Genomic DNA, 21,002 nt, shown 5'->3' on the forward strand with positions numbered 1-21,002 from the left:
GGTTAGGCATAGTAATGGAAAGCTGCACAAAAAATTTTCTCAGACTCTTAAAGGCACCTATGACCCCAGAAAACATTAAGAAAAACTCTTAAAGCATAAGCATAACTTGGCATCAATATGTCTCAAAATGATTATGGAAATTCTGATCTCTTAACTCTAACACAGAGGTGTGTTCAAAGAGAACACACTCTATTCAACAGGCATTTCACAGAAATACTACACGCCTTTACAATACGTTATGAGGTTAACTCCTTTAATAATCCTTTTTCCTATGAAAACAAAACTAACAGCTAACAACTGGAGTCTTAACCACCTGTATTCTGCCCTTCATTTGAGTGGGTGGTGAACATCTCAGTCTCTACTTTCTGATTCCTTTTGAAGCATATGTTTCATCCCTGCACTTCCTGGACCCAAAAGGAAAGGCATCTCCTCTCATCTGCAAAATAGTTTTCTTCTAAACTGATACTGATCAGATTCCTCTCTGGTTAAAAGGAAAAACAGGAACCAGGGATGCTGCTTTTCCTTATTCAAAAAATGCCTTCCAGAGATGTCTAAACAGCAGCTAATTTCATTATAATTATTTTGTCCCTAAACGTCCCCTAAGAATGTGACTCAGTGGCTTATGGTCTGGCTGTTCCTACTTATAGACTCCCAAAAGTAGATTCCTTTTCAATGCAAAACAACTTATTTCTCAACCTTCAGCTATTCTGTGGAATGAAACTGAAGGTTATGTAATCAAATGTACACAATGAATTTTTTTAACCTGCCCAAATAATTCACTGATCCATATTCTCCAGGTACCCACTACCTCACTCTTCCCTATGAAATATCTCCCTAGGAACAGGCAATCTCATTTGACATTTTGGTAAGATTTTACCAATTCTCCCCAAGTGTGTATGACCTTCTATCCATATCTGCCTTTCTCACTCTCTTTTATAATGTCAGGTTTTAAAGATATTTTGAGTAAAACTTACCCAAAATATTTTCAACTGGTTTTCAGGGGCTTGGCGGGGGTTGGGGGAGTAGTTTAGCAGCTGTTCTTACGGCTTGATGGCCTTGCTAATCTGATGATTTCCAACCAAACCTAATCATGAAAGAGACAAACCTCCATAGTTACCTCATCCTGTTGGGCATGCTATAAATAACGAGCGTAGATTTAATAATAGACTCCCTCTTTCCCACACTCCAATACAGATTTCAGCTTTTCTTTTTTCAGTTTTCTTAGCTTTGCACATTAAGTCATAATGCCATTCATAATTATAAATTACATGGAAAAATACATCCATTAGAAGACAAACAATTCTTCAACTGTGTGTTGTTTCTGGATTGTACACTAAGGGCTTTGTCACTGAAAGGCCACATCCACGCAAGATGATGGCATCTCCTGCCAGGGGAAGTAAGACTTATCCTAAATCATAAAAGAATAAAATAACTTTCGCAATCTCACTTTGCCCTTGCTTTTGTCTAGTCTGAAGAAGGTCTGTGATGGGCACATGACTGAAAGGTTCACTCTGGAAGGAGATTTAGTATTGCCAGTAGAACTACCCCATTCCTTTTTTAGTTTTCTTATAAAGTAATTTTGTGGATAGTTCCTACAGTGAATGGTTGCCTCAAATCCTTATAGCTTTTTTTTCATAGTGTCCTATATTTCAGTGTTAAATCAGTGAAATGACATCTCATCAGTTACCTGCTTTATTCAATGTTTGAAATGTAAAAAAAGCCATAAAGTGGGGACTCACTATTATCCCTGTGCCCAACCTTTTTCCTACTTCCCTTCTGCTCAGCACAGCCCGGCTCAGACATTCAGCCTCCCTTCCTTTCACACACCAATCAAAAGCCTCTTCCCTGACTGACTCGATTCCAAGAACTTGGCAGTCCAGGGCTGTCGCTGGGCCAGTCTCTGCATGAGCATTCCAAGCGTTGCCTAAAGACTTGCTAAGCAGCAGAAGTTTTCTTTAAAGGACTTGGGATTTAAAAACAGGAACAAAAAGGATGTGATAGGAACTGTTTTATTTTCTCTCCCTTAATGTTACATTCCTTTCATGTATGGACATCTTGACTTAGACACATAACTGTGTTTAGTATTTCACCCTTTAACTTCCCTGAATGCTGCTGGAGTTTGAAGAAACAGCTAGACCAGTTTCATTTTTTGTTTGGTTTCATTTATTTATTTATTTTTATAGACAGGATCTCACTATGCTTCCCAGGCTGGTCTCAAACTCCTGGGCGCAAGCAATCCTCCTGCCTCAGCCTCCCAAAATGCTGGCATTACAGGCATGAGCCACCACACCTGGTCTGTTCTGTTTTTTTAAACAAACAATGAAGTTTAAATCCATGTCTCATCTCCTCTCTTGTGTTTTAAGTTACAAAAAAAAAAAAAAAAAAAAAAAACAGAAAGATACTCTAATGACACTCCAAATATCATGACAGACCTGCTGAATTGTAGTCAGATATTTGGAGTGTAGTTTTAAAATGACTGCCTAAAACAAGATGTTTAATTTTGTATAGAACTTATTTCTATTTTCCAAATATGTTTCTTCATTAATAAACACAAAATAAAATCAAGAAAATACCCGGATATGAAACTAATTCAACATTTTCTTCCTATTTGCATCACTGCTGAAGAGGAAACGTTGTTCTGCTTTTCAAAGTATAGAAACCTAGGGCCTGGTGGCTCATGCCTGTAATCCCAGCACTTTGGGAGGCTGAGGCAGGCGGATCACGAGGTCAGGAGATCGAGACCATCCTGGCTAACGCGGTGAAACCCCATCTCTACTAAAAAATACAAAAAATTGGTTGGGCGCGGTGGCTCACGCCTGTAATCCCAGCACTTTGGGAGGCCGAGGCGGGCGGATCACGAGGTCAGGAGATCGAGACCACCCTGGCGGGCGCCTGTACTCCCAGCTACTCGGGAGGGTGAGGCAGGAGAATGGCATGAACCCGGGGGGCAGAGCCTGCAGTGAGCCGAGATGACGCCACTGCACTCCAGCCTGGGGGACAGCGAGACTCTGTCTCAAAAAAAAAAAAAAAAAAAATTAGCCGGGCGTGGTGGCGGGTACCTGTAGTCCCAGCTGCTCAGGAGGCTGAGGCAGGAGAATGGCGCGAACCCCGGAGGCGGAGCTTGCAGTGAGCCGAGATCGCACCACTGCACTCCAGCCTGGGCGACACAGCAAGACTCCGTCTGAAAAAAAAAAAAAAAAAAAGAAATCTAGGGCCGGGCGTGGTGGCTCAAACCTGTAATCCCAGCACTTTGGGAGGCCAAGGGGCAGATCACTTGAGGCCAGGAGTTCAAGACCAGCCTGGCCAACATGGCGAATCCCCATCTCTACTAAAAATACAAAAAATTAGCTGGGCATGGTGGCACACACCTGTAGTCCCTGCTACTCGGGAGGCTGAGGCAGGAGAATCACTTCATCCCGGGAGGCGGAGGTTGCAGTGAGCCGAGCTCATCCCACTGCACTCTAGCCTGGGCAACAGAGCAAGACTCCATCTCAAAAAAAAAAAAAAAGTAAAGAAATATAGAAAAATAATCCGTTGGCACTAAAATGTGTCATATGATTCAATTCCTGCTAATAAATAGGTTTAGGTAACCTTATGATTTTACCATTTTAAAAAAAACCTAATACGGCCGGATGCGGTGGCTCATGCCTGTAATCCCAAGCACTCTGGGAGGCCGAGGTGGGCAGATCACGAGGACAAGAGATCGAGACCATCCTGGCTAACACAGTGAAACCTCATCTCTACTAAAAATACAAACAAATTAGCCGGGCGTGGTGGCAGGCGCCTGTACTCCCAGCTACTCGGGAGGCTGAGGCAGGAGAATGGCGTGAACCCGTGAGGCGGAGCTTGCAGTGAGCTGAGATTGCACCACTGCACTCCAGCCTGGGCGACAGAGCGAGACTCCGTCTCAAAAAAAAAACCTAATACTAATTTTTAAATGTCTAGCTGTACCAGTACAGCTTACAGCTTACAGCTTTCCAGATACTCAAACAGGTATAATGTCATTTCTTAACTCCAAAGGACCACTGAGGAACACAAGAGAAGTGTTATCAGTACTCCCAATATAAAGATGAAGAATTTAATTCAGACGTTAAATGATGTTTTCAATTTCTCAGAATTTCTTCAGGACAGAACAGAATTCAGACCCAAGGGCTTGAGCAGCTCTCTCTGCAAACAACACTGCCTTTAAAAAGCCACTATCAAACATCTATTTATTCAATGATTTGACTTTAACTTTGAAATTAAATTTGATTTTCTAGATAGTCATGTCATAACCAACCAACGTCTTCAATAGTACAACATGGACCTGAGTTTTAAATACTTAAAACAGAAGAAACAAAAATGGTTGAAGATACTGACTTTTAAGAATGCAAAAAGCTTACTTTGACTTTTCAAAAAAGTTACATAAAGATCACATTTCAAATATTATGTTAATTATTAATTATAATTCATATTTAGTTGTAGCATAAAATAAATTATATTTGTTTTACTGGGGAATTTTTAATAAAAAGCATTTTAGCAGTAAGATTTTCTAATTTCTGAGATCTAAATTAACAATTCCTTACTTTTAAATTTTACATTTTAAATTTTGAAAATTTTAAACCCTGCTTATATAACACCTTGCTTTGTGTTCATCTCTATCACAATAATTATTAATTCATGCTTGTTGTGTACACATAAAGAGCCACAATTATTCATAGACACAAGATAAGCTACTTGCATCTAAGCTAAAAGTGGGAATATTCACAAATTTACTGTGAGAAATATTCATAAACATATGCTTTCATGAATGAGATTCATTTATCAAAGTTCTGTGATTCTGAATAATGTGCTTATTTGGGAAGTTTGTTTCAGAAACTCCCCTCCCTTTTTAAATCTCGTAGCAGCATTACTGAGGTATAATTTAGCCACACCAAACTGCTGCCTTTCCTCTTTGACCCCTCACCATTACCCCCATCCTTGATTTCCTTAGAATCCTTTTTTTCATTAGCTGATGTCAAGGTGAAGTTTAGACCAGACCAGAGCTTTGAGGCTTTGTGGCATGTAAAAGGACTCGGATAATTCTCCTTTCCATCAGGAAGTGTACGCCACCTGAAAGAGTCCTAAAATAAAGCCCCAGAACAATGAACTGGAAATAAGAATAGTATAAATACCAAAATCATTAAAGGCTTCCAATTTTTATATCCTGCTTGTAAGGACTTAGGAAATGTGGCTTCGTGAAGGTAAAGGGGTGATTTTATTTGGCCACAGTGTACATGTGTTGTCTCCGCCTATCCATCATCCACTGTCCTTCCTCTGGCAACAGAGCCCTACATGAAGAATGGAGAACTGCTCTTCTCCTACTCGTGATGACGTCACCTTTGCCATCAGAGCAGCTGGACCATCATCGAGCCAGCCATTGCAACAGTAATAACCATAGTGTTTTTTTCTGGAGTTTAGGGGAATGAGGCACTCTTTTCAGCTCTGGTGTAAGAGGACAGAGGTAAGGCTGCGGCAGATAGCAGCCATGCCATAAACAAAACACCTGCGCAAGGGCAGGACTAATGCTGATGACGCCGCAGAATGAAGGAACCCAGGAGATTATGCCAAGATTTCTCAGTTACCTTAATCACAAGGTTCTCTTTTGGGGTGAAAATTGCTTGGGTTGGGTTTTCTCACTTTTGCAACCAAAAAGCACCCTAACTAATAAAACTAAGTGTAATAAACTTAGAAATAAAACTAGTGTCTTCAGTTACACCAGTTCTGTTGAAGGAATGAATTTCAAAATTAAAAATAAAAATAAATTAAAAATTACAAAATAGATACACCAGTTCTTTATCACATCCAGGAGTGTGGCACTTTGCAAGCTCTTCTCCACCACCAGGTACTCCAGAATCCCTAGAAATAGCAAACTAGCTCAGACTTCACCATCAAGAATTTATGTTAGCTAAAAAGAAATATTTTCTCACAGAGAAATTTTCAAATAAGAGTTTATAAAGTGGTTTATTCTTCAAAGTGTTTTTTAATGCTTTAATTTTTTAAAAGGTTTTCCAATAATTTGTATACACGTATATACTAAGTTTCCAATAAACAGTAAAATCTCCTTTTATGGCACAATTAAAAGAAGGGTAGGGCCTGAATAATTTTTATTCATTAGGTAAATCTAAGAAGCAGAAATAAAATACACTCTTTATACCTTTTCAATCCCAATGACTTGTGTAAAAATCATTAATACTTACAAGAGAAGCATGATAATTTGATTAGTTACTATTTAAAATTTGACAAGATTTTCCTAAACAAATTTGTTTATCTGTAAAATGGTTAATTATCCAAACTAGATAAGTGTTTTTGCCAATTCCTCTAACAGTCACAGAAGTTTAATCAGAATTCTTAGCCAATAGAATGGGACTCTAAGCACAGTAGCTCATGCCTGTAATCCCAGCACTCTGGGAGGCCGAGACGGGTGAATCAGTTGAGGTCAGGAGTTTGAGACCATCCTGGCCAACATGGTGAAACCTCATCTCCACCAAAAATTAGCCAGGCATGATGGTGCACGCCTCTAGTCCCCAGCTACTCAGGAGGCTGAGGCAGGAGAATCACTTGAACCTGGGAGGCAGAAGTTTCAGTAAGCCAAGATTGTGCCACTGCACTCTAGCCTGGGTGACACGGTAAGACTCAGTCTCAAAAAAAAAGGAAATCTCAGAGAAGGGATAGTAGCACCAGCTGTCCAATGAAAACATGCAAAAGATATTCTAATGGTTCCAAAACAAACACTTGTTTTTAATCTCAAAAAATAAAACTAAATTGTTTCTTTCTATTACTATGTTCTAATCGGGATGAAATATTAGCAACTAAAATAACATGTTGGTTTTAAAACATTTAAAAAGTTGAAAATTCTAGTCAAGGAAGATATTGTAAATATATGCTAAGCAATTCTAAGGTTATTATTAATGTTGATGTAGTTCAGGTGTTTGCATTACATCAAAAGGATAGCATGCATCAAACCAGTAACAAAAGATAAATATAACTACCTGCAATTGAGTAGCGTGCATTATCAAAGTAAGGGAGAAAAAAAAAGTCCAAAACCAAAATAAATAATAGATAAGGCAATATGCCTTTGAACAGCCTACTAAACAAATAACAGCTTAAAAACAGGTGTACTGTGGCCGGCGCGGTGGCTTACATCTGTAAACCCAGCACTTTGGGAGGCTGAGGCAGGTGGATCACGAGGTCAGGAGATCGAGACCATCCTGGCTAACACGGTGAAACCCCACCTCCACTAAAAATACAAAAAATTAGCCGGGCGTGGTGGCACACGCCTGTAGTCCCAGCTACTCGGGAGGCTGAGGCAGGAGAATGGTGTGAACCCAGGAGGCAGAGCTTGCAGTGAGCTGAGATCGCGCCACTGCACTCCAGCCTGGGTGACAGAGCAAGACTCCGTCTCAAAAAAAAAAAAAAAAAAAAAAAGGTGTACTGCAAAATGATATAAACATAATACAGCAGAACTTTTTAACATCAATGTAATATTAACTTAGCCAAGCTTCCAAAAAGAAACTCATGCTGATTTTTCAGATATACTACTAATAATATAAATAATAATAGCTTCCATGTATTTAATACTTTAGGTATCTGATGCTATGAGCCTGACACTTACTAAGTGTTTTACATATGTTAGTTGCCATTAACGTCATGGTGATACTATAAACTGGACAATAATCCTGCTTTACAGATAAGGAAACTGAGGTGTTCAGTATTAAATAACTTCTGAAGATCACACCATGAGAGAGTGGAGTCATCATATAAAACCAGGTTTGTCGGAACCAAAAGCCCATGTTAACTATATGCTAAAGCATTTTTCATTCCCTCAACATACTTCTTGAGTATCTACTATGTGACAGACATCGTGAAAGACCTGAGGACATGATTATTAGCAAAGCCAGACATAGTCACAGCCCTTACAGAGTTTAAAGTATAGTGGGTGAAACAAACATAATCCAATATTCACAAAAATAGAAGCAAAATTAAAACTATAATTGCGGTAAGTTTTGTGAAGGAAAAGAATATGGTGCTATCTGAGTATATAGTAAAGGGGCCTCACATAGTCTGGGAGATCAGGAACAGTTCACTATAGATGAGTCAGAAAGCTGGAAATCCACATAATAAACAGGTGAGAGGTGTGCAGGTAAGATGGGAAATTGACCAGACAGAGGGAAAAGCACATAAAAAGGCTCGGTGGCGAAAGGGAACTCAGAATGTCTGTGTAACTATAAAGGTGAAAAAGGTCACTTTGGGAGGCCAAGGTGGGCGGATCACGAGGTCAGGAGATCAAGACCATCCTGGCTAACACGGTGAAACCCCATCTCTACTAAAAAATACAAAAAAATTAGCCGGGCATGGTGGCATGCACCTGTAGTCCCAGCTACTGGGGAAGCTGAGGCAGGAGAATCACTTGAACCCGGGAGGCAGAGGTTGCAGTGAGCCGAGATCACGCCACTGCACTCCAGCCTGGGCGACAGACCGAGAGTCTCTTTCAAAAAAAAAAAAAAAAAAAAAAGGGCAGTACGAACAAAGCACAGAGCTAGAGGAAGGAGAAACGACACAAGATGACGTTTGTATCTCAGAAACCTGAAAAGCCTGCGATAATGCTGGGTGTAATGACATGTTATTCAAATGTGAGCAAACAAAAGAGAAACTTCAAATCTGTATGCTCAGTTTCAAAACTAATAAAGCCTCAATAGCAGTGGTGACTATCTTAATTCATACATCTTTTCTAGGCCTAAAGTGAAACACTAAACAAAGATACTGTCCCTTCAGTGCTTCTGCTGACAAGCTGCTTTTCAGCCCCACTACAGCTGTTTGGTGCAGGCTGCTGTGTATCAATTCCTCCTCTGCCTGCCATTTTCAGCCTTTTTCTATTCCTCCTTTTTACCACTGACTGATTTTTCTAGAGCAAAGTCTGATTATTTCATTCTCCTGCTTCAAAATCCTTCAATAGCTTCCCATTACCTAATAGGGAATACATAATCTGGCTCTTGTCTACCCACCTAGTTTCATCTTTTTAGACCATATACAGTAGAGCCAGCATTTGAGGACATCTGGAGAACTGTTTCATTTCTTGATGCTCTATTATCCCTAGTGACTGACCTCATCTGTATGGTCCAAGATGCCATTTTCCCATGTCCATATTTCAAACAGTTGAATGGGGTAGGGGCAGAGGGAGGGTGGGGGAGGCAGTAAATCCTTCCTTAAAATACCTGACTGCAAAGTATAGCCTGTGGTCACACCTGGCTACAAAGGAGGCTAGAAAATGTGGTCTTTATTCTGGGTACCCACAAACTCAATTACTTCTATTAGTATGGAAGAAGGGAAAAATGAATTTGGAGAAATCACTAGTAGTCTATGATACAAAAACTGAAATTAGCATGCATTTTGTTCAATTAAATATGTTTAAAACTAAATAATGTGGTTATTGTTTAGAATTTATTGGATTAATTATAACTTCCATTTTGAAAAAAATGTGTAATACAAATATTGATCTAATCTTTAGAAATGTTTATAGAATCACTTCATGGGTATCCATTGCCAAAGAAATTACTGCCTCTCAGAACTCCTATGCGACAACTTACCCAAACAGTTCTTCATTCAGATTCTCCAATTCTTAAGAAAGTGCTTTTACATTTGCAATGTGATAATACTTTAAAAGACCTTCTGAGAGATTCTTTAGCCACTGAGACTTTTTGAAAGGATCCATTTGGTTTCTCCCCTAACAGATAACAATGACTTCGTTGTACTGACCAGGAAAGGAGGCTCATTCTTCGCATGGGTTTTAAATTGGAACTCAGCTATTAAATCATGACCTGTCAGGTAAATAAAGGAAGAAAGGTAAATAAAAGTCCTTTTCTCATTTATTAATATTCCTGCACATGGATTAGTGTAGTCAGGTTTTTAATAACATTTTCACTGACAGTGAATCTTGATTTGACTTAAAAGGTCACTTAATATTTATCATTCCTAGCCACAAGTATAGGACTCTGAGTACAACAAAATTCCTTTTTTTTTTTACCTTCCCTACTAATGTAAAGAACCAGAACTGAAATCATCATCTTTGAAAATATGGTTGAAGTCAAAGATCTACCCGAAATGCAAATGTTTAAGTAGTTATGTCCCCGATATTAGCAATGACCTTGAACACTTTAGCCAAACACAGTAACTGTTCCTTAAATCATTAACTTACTTTGGATTCCTAATGTAACTGTGTTTGGTGATTTGGGTAATAGAATTTTGTTTTAAGTCACTATCTTTATTGGTATGATATACTTAAACTGGATTAGTTTGGATGTTATAGAAATGAAACAAAACTCTGATAATACTTGGTATCTTCACCTCAAAATTGCTTTTCTAAAGATATTACATTTTTAAATATCTAGCAAAGAGCATTATAGGATGTTAGAACCAGAAGAAATCAAAATATGTGTTTTATTTTTCAAGTTATTTTGTAATTTGTACATATCTATATTTCTCACTTTATTTCTCTGTCCTATATGCAAATAACTCTCAAACAAGTCCTCATTTGTAACACTGTTACCAATGAAGATTCCTAGCATAAGTCAATAATAACACTGGAGAATTTCAAATTCTTGAAGAAATTGGCTGGATATTGTATCTTTTGGAATTGGCTTAAGGCAAAGCTCATTACAACAGACTTAGTCAATAGATATGATATAAATTAACGAGGAACAAAATTCTGCCCATTTGTTCTCCTTAATCTGTGTTTAAATGCTTATCATTTTCCAAACACTTATTCTTGAATTTTAAAAAGAAAATTACAAGGTGTCATATGCCCTATTCTATCTTTCTAAAGTACTATAAATTCCCCAACTACTCGCTGCATTTTTATCAGCAAATTCTTTTTAAATAAATTTTTCTGTCAATAGCAGTTAAAGTATAAAATGTCTCCCTGGATGTATAATGTACTACCCACTAAGAGAAAAGGCCCACCTAAATTAAGAAATGGCTTCACAAAATGCTTACAAATTCACTCTTTGAACACGTAAAAACAAACTGAATTTACAGAAATATTAACCTTTCTTTAATGTGGCTATAGCATGCAAATCATTAAAAAAAAAAGGCCATGTAAGTCAGGTGTGGTAGCTCACGCCTGTAATCCCAGCACTTTGGGAGGCCGAGGCAGGCGGATCACTTGAGGCCAGTAGGTTGAGACCTGCCTGGACAACATGGCAAAACCCCATCTCTACTAAAAATACCCAAAAAAATTAGCTGGGCATGGTGGCACGAGCCTGTAGTCGCAGCTACTCCAGAGGCTGAGGCAGGAGAATTGCTTGAACCCAGGAGGCAGAGGTTGCAGTGAGTCAAGATCATGCCACTGCACTCCAGCCTGGGTGACAGCAGAGTGAGACTCAGTCTCAAAAAAAAGAAAAGGCCATGTACATTACTTTTTCAGAGTGTAAGCTTTACCACATATTGATCTGAGTGTGTAGAGAGAGATGACACAACAGATTATTAAAAGACTGATGATGGCAAGATTTAATGACACCATAAACCCAGTGACAACTCCCATCCATTTTAAAAGAATTGCCCATGGATCTCAAGGTATTTAAGAAATATGAGACATTATATTGACTTTTTTCCAGAGAGGAACTGATGTTAACAGCTACTTAGAGATTTTAAAATTAAATACGTATATGGTAATGCAACAAATATTTATTAATATTTATGGAGCCAAGCGCTTTGAGATATTCAGTGGCAAAACAAAAAGATCCCTGCCTTCAAAGAACTTACAGTCTATCGGGGTAGACAGATGATACACAATGGATACAATAGATAATAAATTATATTGTATGTAATAAGATTATATGGAGGAAGGAAAAGTAACACAGGGTAAAGCACATAGGAAAGACCAAGGTGAAATGCTAAACATAGCATTACCATATGACCCAGAAATTCCATTGCTAAGTATATACCTAAAAGAATTTTTAAAAATATATATCTATACAAAATCTTGTACATAAATATTCACAGCTGCATTATTCATAATAGCCAAAAAGTGGAAACAATCCAAATGCCTATCAACTGATGAATGGATAAACACAATGGATCATATGTCTACAATGGAATAGTATTCTCAATAAACAGGAATGAAGTACTAACATGTGCTGCAACATGGATGAACCTTGAAAACATTAAGTAAAACAAGCCAGACACACAAAAGGACAGATGAATATTGCATGTTTTCACTTATACATGGTACCTAGAATAGGCAAATTCATAGAGACAGAAAGTAGACTAGAGGTTACCAGGGGCTGGGGTAAGGAGAGAATGGGAATTTATTTTCTAAAGGATACAGAGTTTCTGTCTGGGATAGTAAAAAAAAGTTCTGGAAATGCAGAGCAGTGATGGTTGCTCAACATTGTGAATGTCCTTAATATCACTGAATTATATCTTTTTAAACGGTCAAAATGATAAATTTTATGTATATTTTATCGCAATTTACTTTAAAAGGCACTAAAATCTGACTATTAAGATGCCTACTAAGCAGTGAAATCCAGCTCACACCCAGCATCTTTGTTCTCTTTCTCCCATACCACACTGCCCCAGCAGCAGGCAGAAATTGGAGCCCTGCTCACAGTGATTTCCCCGGTAGCCAGATCTGGGCATTGCCACTTGCCGTCATGGATATAAATGATTAATCCTGATCCAAGGGGGCCAAATTCCATCACCTCATAATCTGAAGTTTAACAAGAGGGACACTGAATACAGAAATTGCTCCATTCAAGTCATGTAAATGATGGGACCCAAAGAGTAGGTCCTGCTATTGAGATTCCCAAAGCAGCCCTAGGTTCCTGCCTCTCCTGATGCTCAGTTGTTGAGCTCATCATTTTATTTCTTGGAGCTCCTCCAGTATTCTCACAGTAAATTTCCTTCTTTCCGTAAGCTGGTCAGAGATGGTTTCTGTTCCTCACCAACAAAGAACGTTACTTCTAACACAGTTTTTCAATTCTTAAACTTCATCCATGTGGGCAAAGTGATATCCAAGTATCCCCTGCTTTCCAAATCTTTAGAGCTTTTGAGATCAAATAGTAAGAATGAGGATAGCAAGGGATGCCTATAAATTATTTTCAAGAGTTCCAGGGCAATTCACTACAAGGTTTGCAAATAATTTAATTAAATGTGAGCTGCAACTTGAGTTGGTGAGTACTCTATTCTCTGAAATTTTTACAAATAATACACTTTGATTTGCCATTAGAAAATTAACAACTTTTAAACCAGTTTTGTTTTGGGTTTTTGTCAGGTTTTGTTTGCTTATCTGGTCATTTGAGCTCTCATCTTTAGTTCTGATGATCCATGTAAGTTTCCTACATAATGTGAAGAATCCTCTTTTCCTTAGTGATTATTTCATAATTAGTCATTACAGGATCTCAGAGAGCTAGAGAACTAGACATTACTTCACTAAAAATCTAAGTTTTCTCTAGGACTCTGTCGAGGAAATCTCTGGGATAATCAATATATAATAAAAGTCCAGCATTTTGTAATCTGCACAAAGAAATTTTTATGATGATATTTGTACAGTGACTCAAACATCTCAGTGATAGATAGAACCTCATTAACACATAGTTGAATTCTAAGAATTCAGATTATGCATTGTTCACTTCCTTTAGTCTTCCCTGCATTCATGGGAATCTATCTATGGCTTTTTTAACATGTTAAAACACCAAAAGGAAAAGAGAGCGTGATGGACTCCATATATACCAGAAGGGTACTCTATACCAAGTGGGAGACTCGTGTATGTGTGTGCTATATTAAGAACTATTAAAATAGTTCTTAATAGTTCATTAAAATAGTTCTTAATAGTTCTTAATATCTGATGAAAAGTTGTCCATATTGCCAATGTTTCCAGGCATTTATAAAATTCTAATTAAGTTCATGATTCATGAAGAAAAACTACTATGAAATACTAGGGATGGAAACAAATACAGGGAAAGGAGGTAAAAATATAATAGCCAAAGGCACTGGGTACTTCGCATAAATTTCTCCCAAGCAACTGCCAAGTTTCTTCCTGACTGGGCTTTATAGTACTAGCCTCATTATCTCAGGTCTCAGTAAATTCACCGCATGTGACAAGGATGGAATGCCATCTTATTCTCAGAGGATATGAACCAAGCTTAAACCTTATGGAAAATAAGCATAAAATAGGTTCTCAGATTATTTCTTCTGTCTTTGCATATCTCAACAATATTGAATTGTTTGCTTTAGTTTTTTGGAGCTATTAAAATGGACAGTAAAATTTTACCAATTTTTTTAAATGAAAGAAAAAAGTACCAAGAATACATAATCAATCATGGGCATAGATTTGAGACAAATATTCTAATGATCCTTCCAAGTTCAGCGAAAATGCCACCTCCTCCTTGAAGCTCCCGCCAGGTCATCCCAATCAGGAGAGAAAGAATCTGACTCTTCTGACTTTCTGTGGTACTGTTTTAATCATCTTTTGGGCACTTGGAAAAAAACAAAAATTGCCTGACATTGCAGTTACTCAATGCCAGTGTTACCTCCATTGCTAAAAAATTACTACAATAATTGCACAAATATTTATTAAACACCTACTATATACCAGCAATTTTGTCAGGTGCTGAGCATACAGGATTAAGAAGACAGTATCCATTCCTGACCTTGCAACATTTGCAACACTGAGAGCAAAAAAAGTGTCAAATGCCTTGATGTCTCCCACAGATCCTAGCCAAGAGTCATACTACAAATTCGCAAAGGAAGATTAAGTTTTTCAGATAACAATTAAAGTAACAATTAATCCATTGAGATAATAATTAAAAACAGCTTAATATCTGGCATCTCTTTACACATATTGCCCGGCACACAGAAAGGGCTCAAGAAATATCTACTAAATGAATTAATGAGTCATTCTGAAGCATGCTTCAGCATAAACCACATCTCCAGGATAGTCACATGTGTCTTAATATGGACACATTTTCAATTGTATGATTAAAGTTTTGTCTAAAGAACCTGATATTTTAACTTATTCTTAATTCAAGGTTGGAAATCTTTGGATAGGTTGGTATAAACTATGGTAACCCATTATTGATTTGAATTTTGAGAGAGCTAATCCATCTATTTCAAAGATAGTCAATAAAAACAGTTGATTAAATTTCAATTACACACACACACACAAATCTCCTCAAAAACTAACACTATAGAAGTTGACTCAAGCAATAAAAGTTTCATAGTGAGTACTAAGATTACTAAAATGAACAAGTCAGCCATGCTAAAATGCATACTTCTTAACATGTGTCAATAGACTTCTAAATTAAAAGACTACCAATACTCTTCAACTTACAATGGGGTAACATCCCAATAAACCCATTGTAAGTTGAAAATATTCTTAGTCAAAAATTCATTTAATACACCTAACCTACCAAACAACATAGCTTAGCCTAACCTTCTTTACGTGTTCTCAGAACACTTACGTTAGCCTACACTGGGCAAATACAAAGCCTATTTTGTAATAAAAGTGTTGAATATCTCATGTAATTTATTGAATACTATACTGAAAGTTGAAAACAGAATGGTTATTTGAGTACTCTAATATGGTTTCTACTGAATGAGTATTACTTTTGCACCATCATCAAGTTGAAAAATTGTAAATCAAACCATCAAACCATTGTAAATTGGTTATCATCTGTATACATTTACTACATGAGTTAAATCAACCAACTTAATTGCTCAGCATTACTGGTCAGACAAACATTTTTTCCACAATACACCTTAAAATATCAATAATAACCAGGAAAAAAAATTTCATGGTAATTATATGACTGTCTATTTCAGTAATAACAGTTTCTCAGTTTGTGGTTTTCCTCCACTGACCATAACTAGGAAAATAATTTATTTATGCTTTTTAATGTAAATATTGTTGATTAACAGTAATAAGAAATTGAAGAGTCCTTAAAAACCATTTTAGTTAACTTTCCTGGCTATAAAAGTAATAGATGTTTAATTTAAAACCATACATAAAACTGGGAAATACAGAAGAAATAAAAATTGAAATTAAAATCATCTACATACTCACCATAAAGGGTCAACCACTGCTAATATGCTGTTCTATTTTCCATATATATTGTTTTGAATATTTTTTATTAAAATTGTGGTTTTCTAAAGCTATATATTTTTAAACATTCCCATCAAAGTCATCATGGGAGTAGAAACATGACACCAAAAAATGCCATCAATACATTCAAAAGGCACAGTTTTATTCATTAAATAAGTGAATGGGCTGGGCGCAGTGGCTCACACCTGTAATCCCAACACTTTGGGAAGCCAAGGCAGGTAGATCACCTGAGGTTAGGAGTTTGAGACCAGCCTGGCCAACATGGCAACACCCTATCTCTACTAAAAATACAATAAATTAGCCGAATGTGGTGGCGCACACCTGCAGTCCCAGCTACTCCGAAAATTGAGGCACAGGAATGGCTTGAACCCAGGAGGCAGAGGTTGCAGTGAGCCAAGATCACGCCACTGCACTCCAACCTGGACGATAGAGCAAGACCCTGTCTCTGAAGAAAATTAAAAAATAAAAATAAGTGAATGAACAAATGAACGATCATTAAAATTTCATGTCTGGTTATAACGCAGTGATCTATTACCAAGTTCTGATATTTTAAAAACCATAAAATTCACTGTTATTATAGCATAAATCGGTCATAAAAGTCCACTGTTAATTCTTTTATATTTATATATGAAGACCCTCTGCCTGGAATTTAAGTTTTAAAGTTTGAGTCTATAGTATTCTGTCTATATTCTCTAAGTTATCTACACACTATCTGCATGAGAACAGTTACAAAAAAAAAAGTGTCATTGTGAAAAGCGCTACCTGTGCACAAAGAAAATGGCTCTGTTCCACCTAGAATAAAGCCAAGCAGTTACCTCTGACTTCTATCAAAGCCAAGCCATCAGGGCTCTTGAGGAGGGGTGGTTGTTTACTTGACTGAGCTCTCATTGCCAGAGGGGGCTGAAAAGCTGTTATGGTATTTATAGAATGACTTTTAGGTTTAAGAAATAGTCACCCTTTCAGCTTAAAATATACTTTATGTTCACCACTTCAGAAACTCTCTTTGTACTTAATTTCAAGTTCCACAACATCACACTTCTAACACTTAGACTTTCCAAAACAACTCAGTATTCAAGCTTCTGTCATCTTCTTCCTCCACAGTGAACACACATGCAAATGTCCAATGGACTTTTAGATATATTTATCACATTATCATATGCCTTAGCCAAAACAAAGCTAAGCTTATATGCCTGGTTATGGCAGGAAACAACAGCCATCATTTGGAAGAGTTCTGTTTGGAAGATACTAAACATCTTATACAAAAATAAAAGTTAACTATAACCATTCCAAGCTTCATGTACAAACTCCCCACTGATCAAAAAGTCCTATTGAGGCTGGGTGTCATGGCTCACACCTGTAATCCTAGAACTTTGGGAGGCTGAGGTGGAGGGATCGCTTGAGCCCAGGAGTTCAGGGTTGCAGTGAGCTGTGGTCAAGCCTCAAGAAAAAAAAAAAAAGTCCTATTGAGGAAAATATTTTTAAAACTGTAATAAGAACAGCATAATTAAATAAGATAAATCAAATCTACAACTATTTAAACATCAAAATGTTTAGCAGGAAAAAAGATCAGGAAGAGAAATTTGAGGGACTATAATTGGGAATAGTAAAATGTAAACAGTTACACAGTCTCATTCTTCTAAGGAATTAAGTCAGAATTATAAACTGTGTGACCCCCTCCCTATCACCCTACCAGACATCCATCCCTGAACATGGAAACAAAGGAATGGAAAAGTTAATTGCATTGGCCAAAATCAAGCAGGAAGTAAAAATAAGGGCTCCAATCCTCTGTCACTCTGACTAAGAGACTATGATGATGATGCTTATGATGCTTTGAAGTCAGCGCATCAATTGGTAGTCACCTGATAGTTACTGAGACCTTAACTTCTAGGTGTTGGTTCTGAGGCGATCCTGAGAAGAAACCTCAAGGCAAAGGTGGCTATCACTTAAACATACATATACAGATGTACACACACACACACATATACACACTTTTCATTTACGAACCCCTCAACCATGCCGAGAACAGCCAAGGAAGGACCGATGCACCTTACACTGATTCTACTATCCCACTATCCCAAGAATTCTGCTATGCTCAGTCCCTACTCTGTGGTACCTGACCATTGGTCAAGTTGACGTACACAGAAATGTGAATATCTGTTGTCATCAGATGTGGCAGCAACAAGAAAGACAAATCCTAGTATAGAAAAAATGGAAGGAGGAGAAAGGGACAATCAACACTACATTTGAAAGTGGACAGCACATCCCAAGACTCCCTCCTTCACCTTTAAAAGAGACACAAAAACTATAACCTTAAGACATGCCAGTAGAAAATAAAAATAGTTTATTTAAAATAGATTCACCATCTTCGTCCAATAGGATTTAAAGCAATTGTCCATAAGTCAATACAAGTATTTCTTAAATTGATTCTTTAGATGAAAATTTAAATTAGGAAATACAAAGCAGGCCCCTTTGCACTTACACGGAGAAAAGAACAATAAACTCGGAGAAAAGAACAATAACTGTAACTCGGCTTGCAACAATTCAAGATTCAGAAACATCTAGTAAATACAGGTAAAGGATAATGGGGAAAAAAAGGAGAAATGCCAATCTTTGCAACTAGGGCATTCAAATTTTGCACAAACAGACTGATAAATCAACCTGAGAAGCTGGGCCACTAAGCCTAAGAAAATCCTCCCACATCTCCAGTCAGAGGGGCCTCCAAGAGAGGTCCGGTAAACTCAAATATAGTGAAACTCCATGACTTTTCCAGCTGAAAAATTCATTACCTTATGGCAGAAATTCCCAGCAACTACACAATAACAATGTATATCATCCAAAACTTATTTACATGCTAAACATTGAAATCAAACAAGATTTATTTGCAAATAAATGTCTATTCATTATCTTGAAATACTGTGTAAACTCAGTTCTCATTAAACACCTTGCTAAGCTGACTTTGAAAAAACATCATGCTACTAGCCATCATGCATGGCTGAAGAGCTAAAATGGAAATCAAAAACTTTTAGTCTAATTTTTAGCTCCCCCGTTGCGTTTTTAATATGACAGTGGAATAAATTGTCACTAAATATATACAGTGTCAATGTCTCCAATCTGATTCACTTTAACAATTCGTACGCCTTTGAAGAAAATGTGCAATTTGACATGCAAAAATATAAGCATAATGTAGATTTTCCTAGCAATTTTCTAAAAAAGAAATCTTTTCTTTCTGTCTCTATCACTTGTTTTTATAATACCCCCAGGGGGATGGGCCACAGCATCTTCTCTCCTTCTTAGTTTTCAGGAAGACATACTGACATGAAAAAAGAATAAACGATAGGAACAAGGCCATATGGCTAATTAGCAGCAGACCTGGAGCAACAGACCTCCAACTAACAGAAGAGAAAGAAAATTCAACTAGAGAGATGCACTCTGTCTTTGAAGCAGAAAGTGTACAAATAATGACCCCACAACAAGACAATGAGAAATCACAACTACCACTCTGCTTTGGTTTCATAGCCCTAAAACCAACTTGCAAAATAAAATATCTACCAATTGTACTCCGAGGTAAAAAATAGGGAGTGCTACCCCTACATGTACCTAGATAAGATTTCACGTGGCACAGACATATGTTCCCATGAGTTTTATAATTCCTAAAAATCTGAGCCCAATGTGATTCCACAGCCTTAAGAAAGTACTAAAACCAAGCATGACGGACCATTAAAAAACTGCAATGTCACAGACAGAAAGCAGAGGGAACAAAATCATGAATCAGTCTGACTTCTCAGGATAAAAGCATCAGATGTTATATTCCATGGCCTTAATTAAGCCATTATGAAATTAAATGGGATTATTTCTCAATAGCTGAAACTTTTTCACCCCGAATTTTAGGAAATTATTTTATTTATGGATTCCCAACCTTGAAAACCACCCACATGTTAATAAAAATCGATGAGATGAGTGCAAAATACATCAGTTTAAATTAGGATAAAGTAGCTTGGTTTACTTATCAAAGCCAAAAGTCAGTTTTAGCATCTTATCTAACAACTGCCACAGAAATACATACTCTGATGGCTGGAGGTACAGAGTAGAGGACCGCAAGGAGCCGTGGGCAAACCTACAGCCCTGGGCACAAGAGCCACATAGTTTTGTTGAGATGGAAGACCTATGGTCAGGAAAATAAATTCACTTCTTTCTTCCTAAGTTTCCTCTTCTCTCTTATATGAATTTTAAATGTAATTCTTAGAAGAATAGCAAATGAACAGCATGGTTTCTTTAGAAATTAAATGAGCCTTTTTCAATGACGTGCCAGATGCTTTCTGAAAGCAACTTTCAAGTGTTTGCAACATTATTTGCATATCCCACATACAGCAGAATTTGGAAATGTTCATTAATAAGATAATGATTTCAGGTTTAATTTTTTGATATTCCCAATTTTTTATTATAAAAAAAATTAACGCTTTCTGCACTGCCCTGTTTTCAAAGTAGAAAACTGCTATATTTTTATGCATCATAAAAATTTGATGCACATTTGTCAAATGAGATTTCATAGCACCTTTTTTTTTTAGACAGGGGCTCTCTCTGTCACCCAGGCTGGAGTGCAATGGTGTGACTGTTGCTCCCTGCAGCCTTGACCTCCCAAGCTCAAGTGACCATCCCACCTCAGCCTCCCAAGTGGCTGAGACCAGCTGGGACCACAGGCGTGCACCACCACACCTGGCTAATTTTTTATATTTTTTGTACAGACAGGGTCTCCGTCTGTTGCCCAGGCTGGATCACGGCATTCTTAATTTTACAGTTTGTCTTATTCTATAAAGAGATTCACTTCACCCAGGACCCATTTAAGTCCTAGGCTCACCATGCTTCCCTTGAGTATCCTTTGGACACT

At 37.4% G+C, this 21,002-nt stretch overlaps 1 protein-coding gene across 8 annotated transcripts in view; it reads right to left on the minus strand.

Moving 5' to 3' along the window:
* The window catches only part of ITPR2 (inositol 1,4,5-trisphosphate receptor type 2), a 497,843-nt gene that overhangs the window by 473,318 nt on the left and 3,523 nt on the right, over positions 1 to 21,002 (minus strand). Inside the window, exon 2 of one of the 8 annotated variants that reach the window (XM_047428801.1) lies at positions 9,775 to 9,836. The exons of the other annotated variants lie outside the window; for them this stretch is intronic. Within the exon in view, the coding sequence (XP_047284757.1) occupies positions 9,775 to 9,800 (26 nt within the window). The 5' untranslated portion in view covers positions 9,801 to 9,836. The remainder of the gene's footprint in view (positions 1 to 9,774; positions 9,837 to 21,002) is intronic. 8 annotated transcript variants of the gene reach the window in all.

Source organism: Homo sapiens, chromosome 12, assembly GCF_000001405.40.
Source record: "Homo sapiens chromosome 12, GRCh38.p14 Primary Assembly".
NCBI classification, from domain to species: domain Eukaryota; kingdom Metazoa; phylum Chordata; class Mammalia; order Primates; family Hominidae; genus Homo; species Homo sapiens.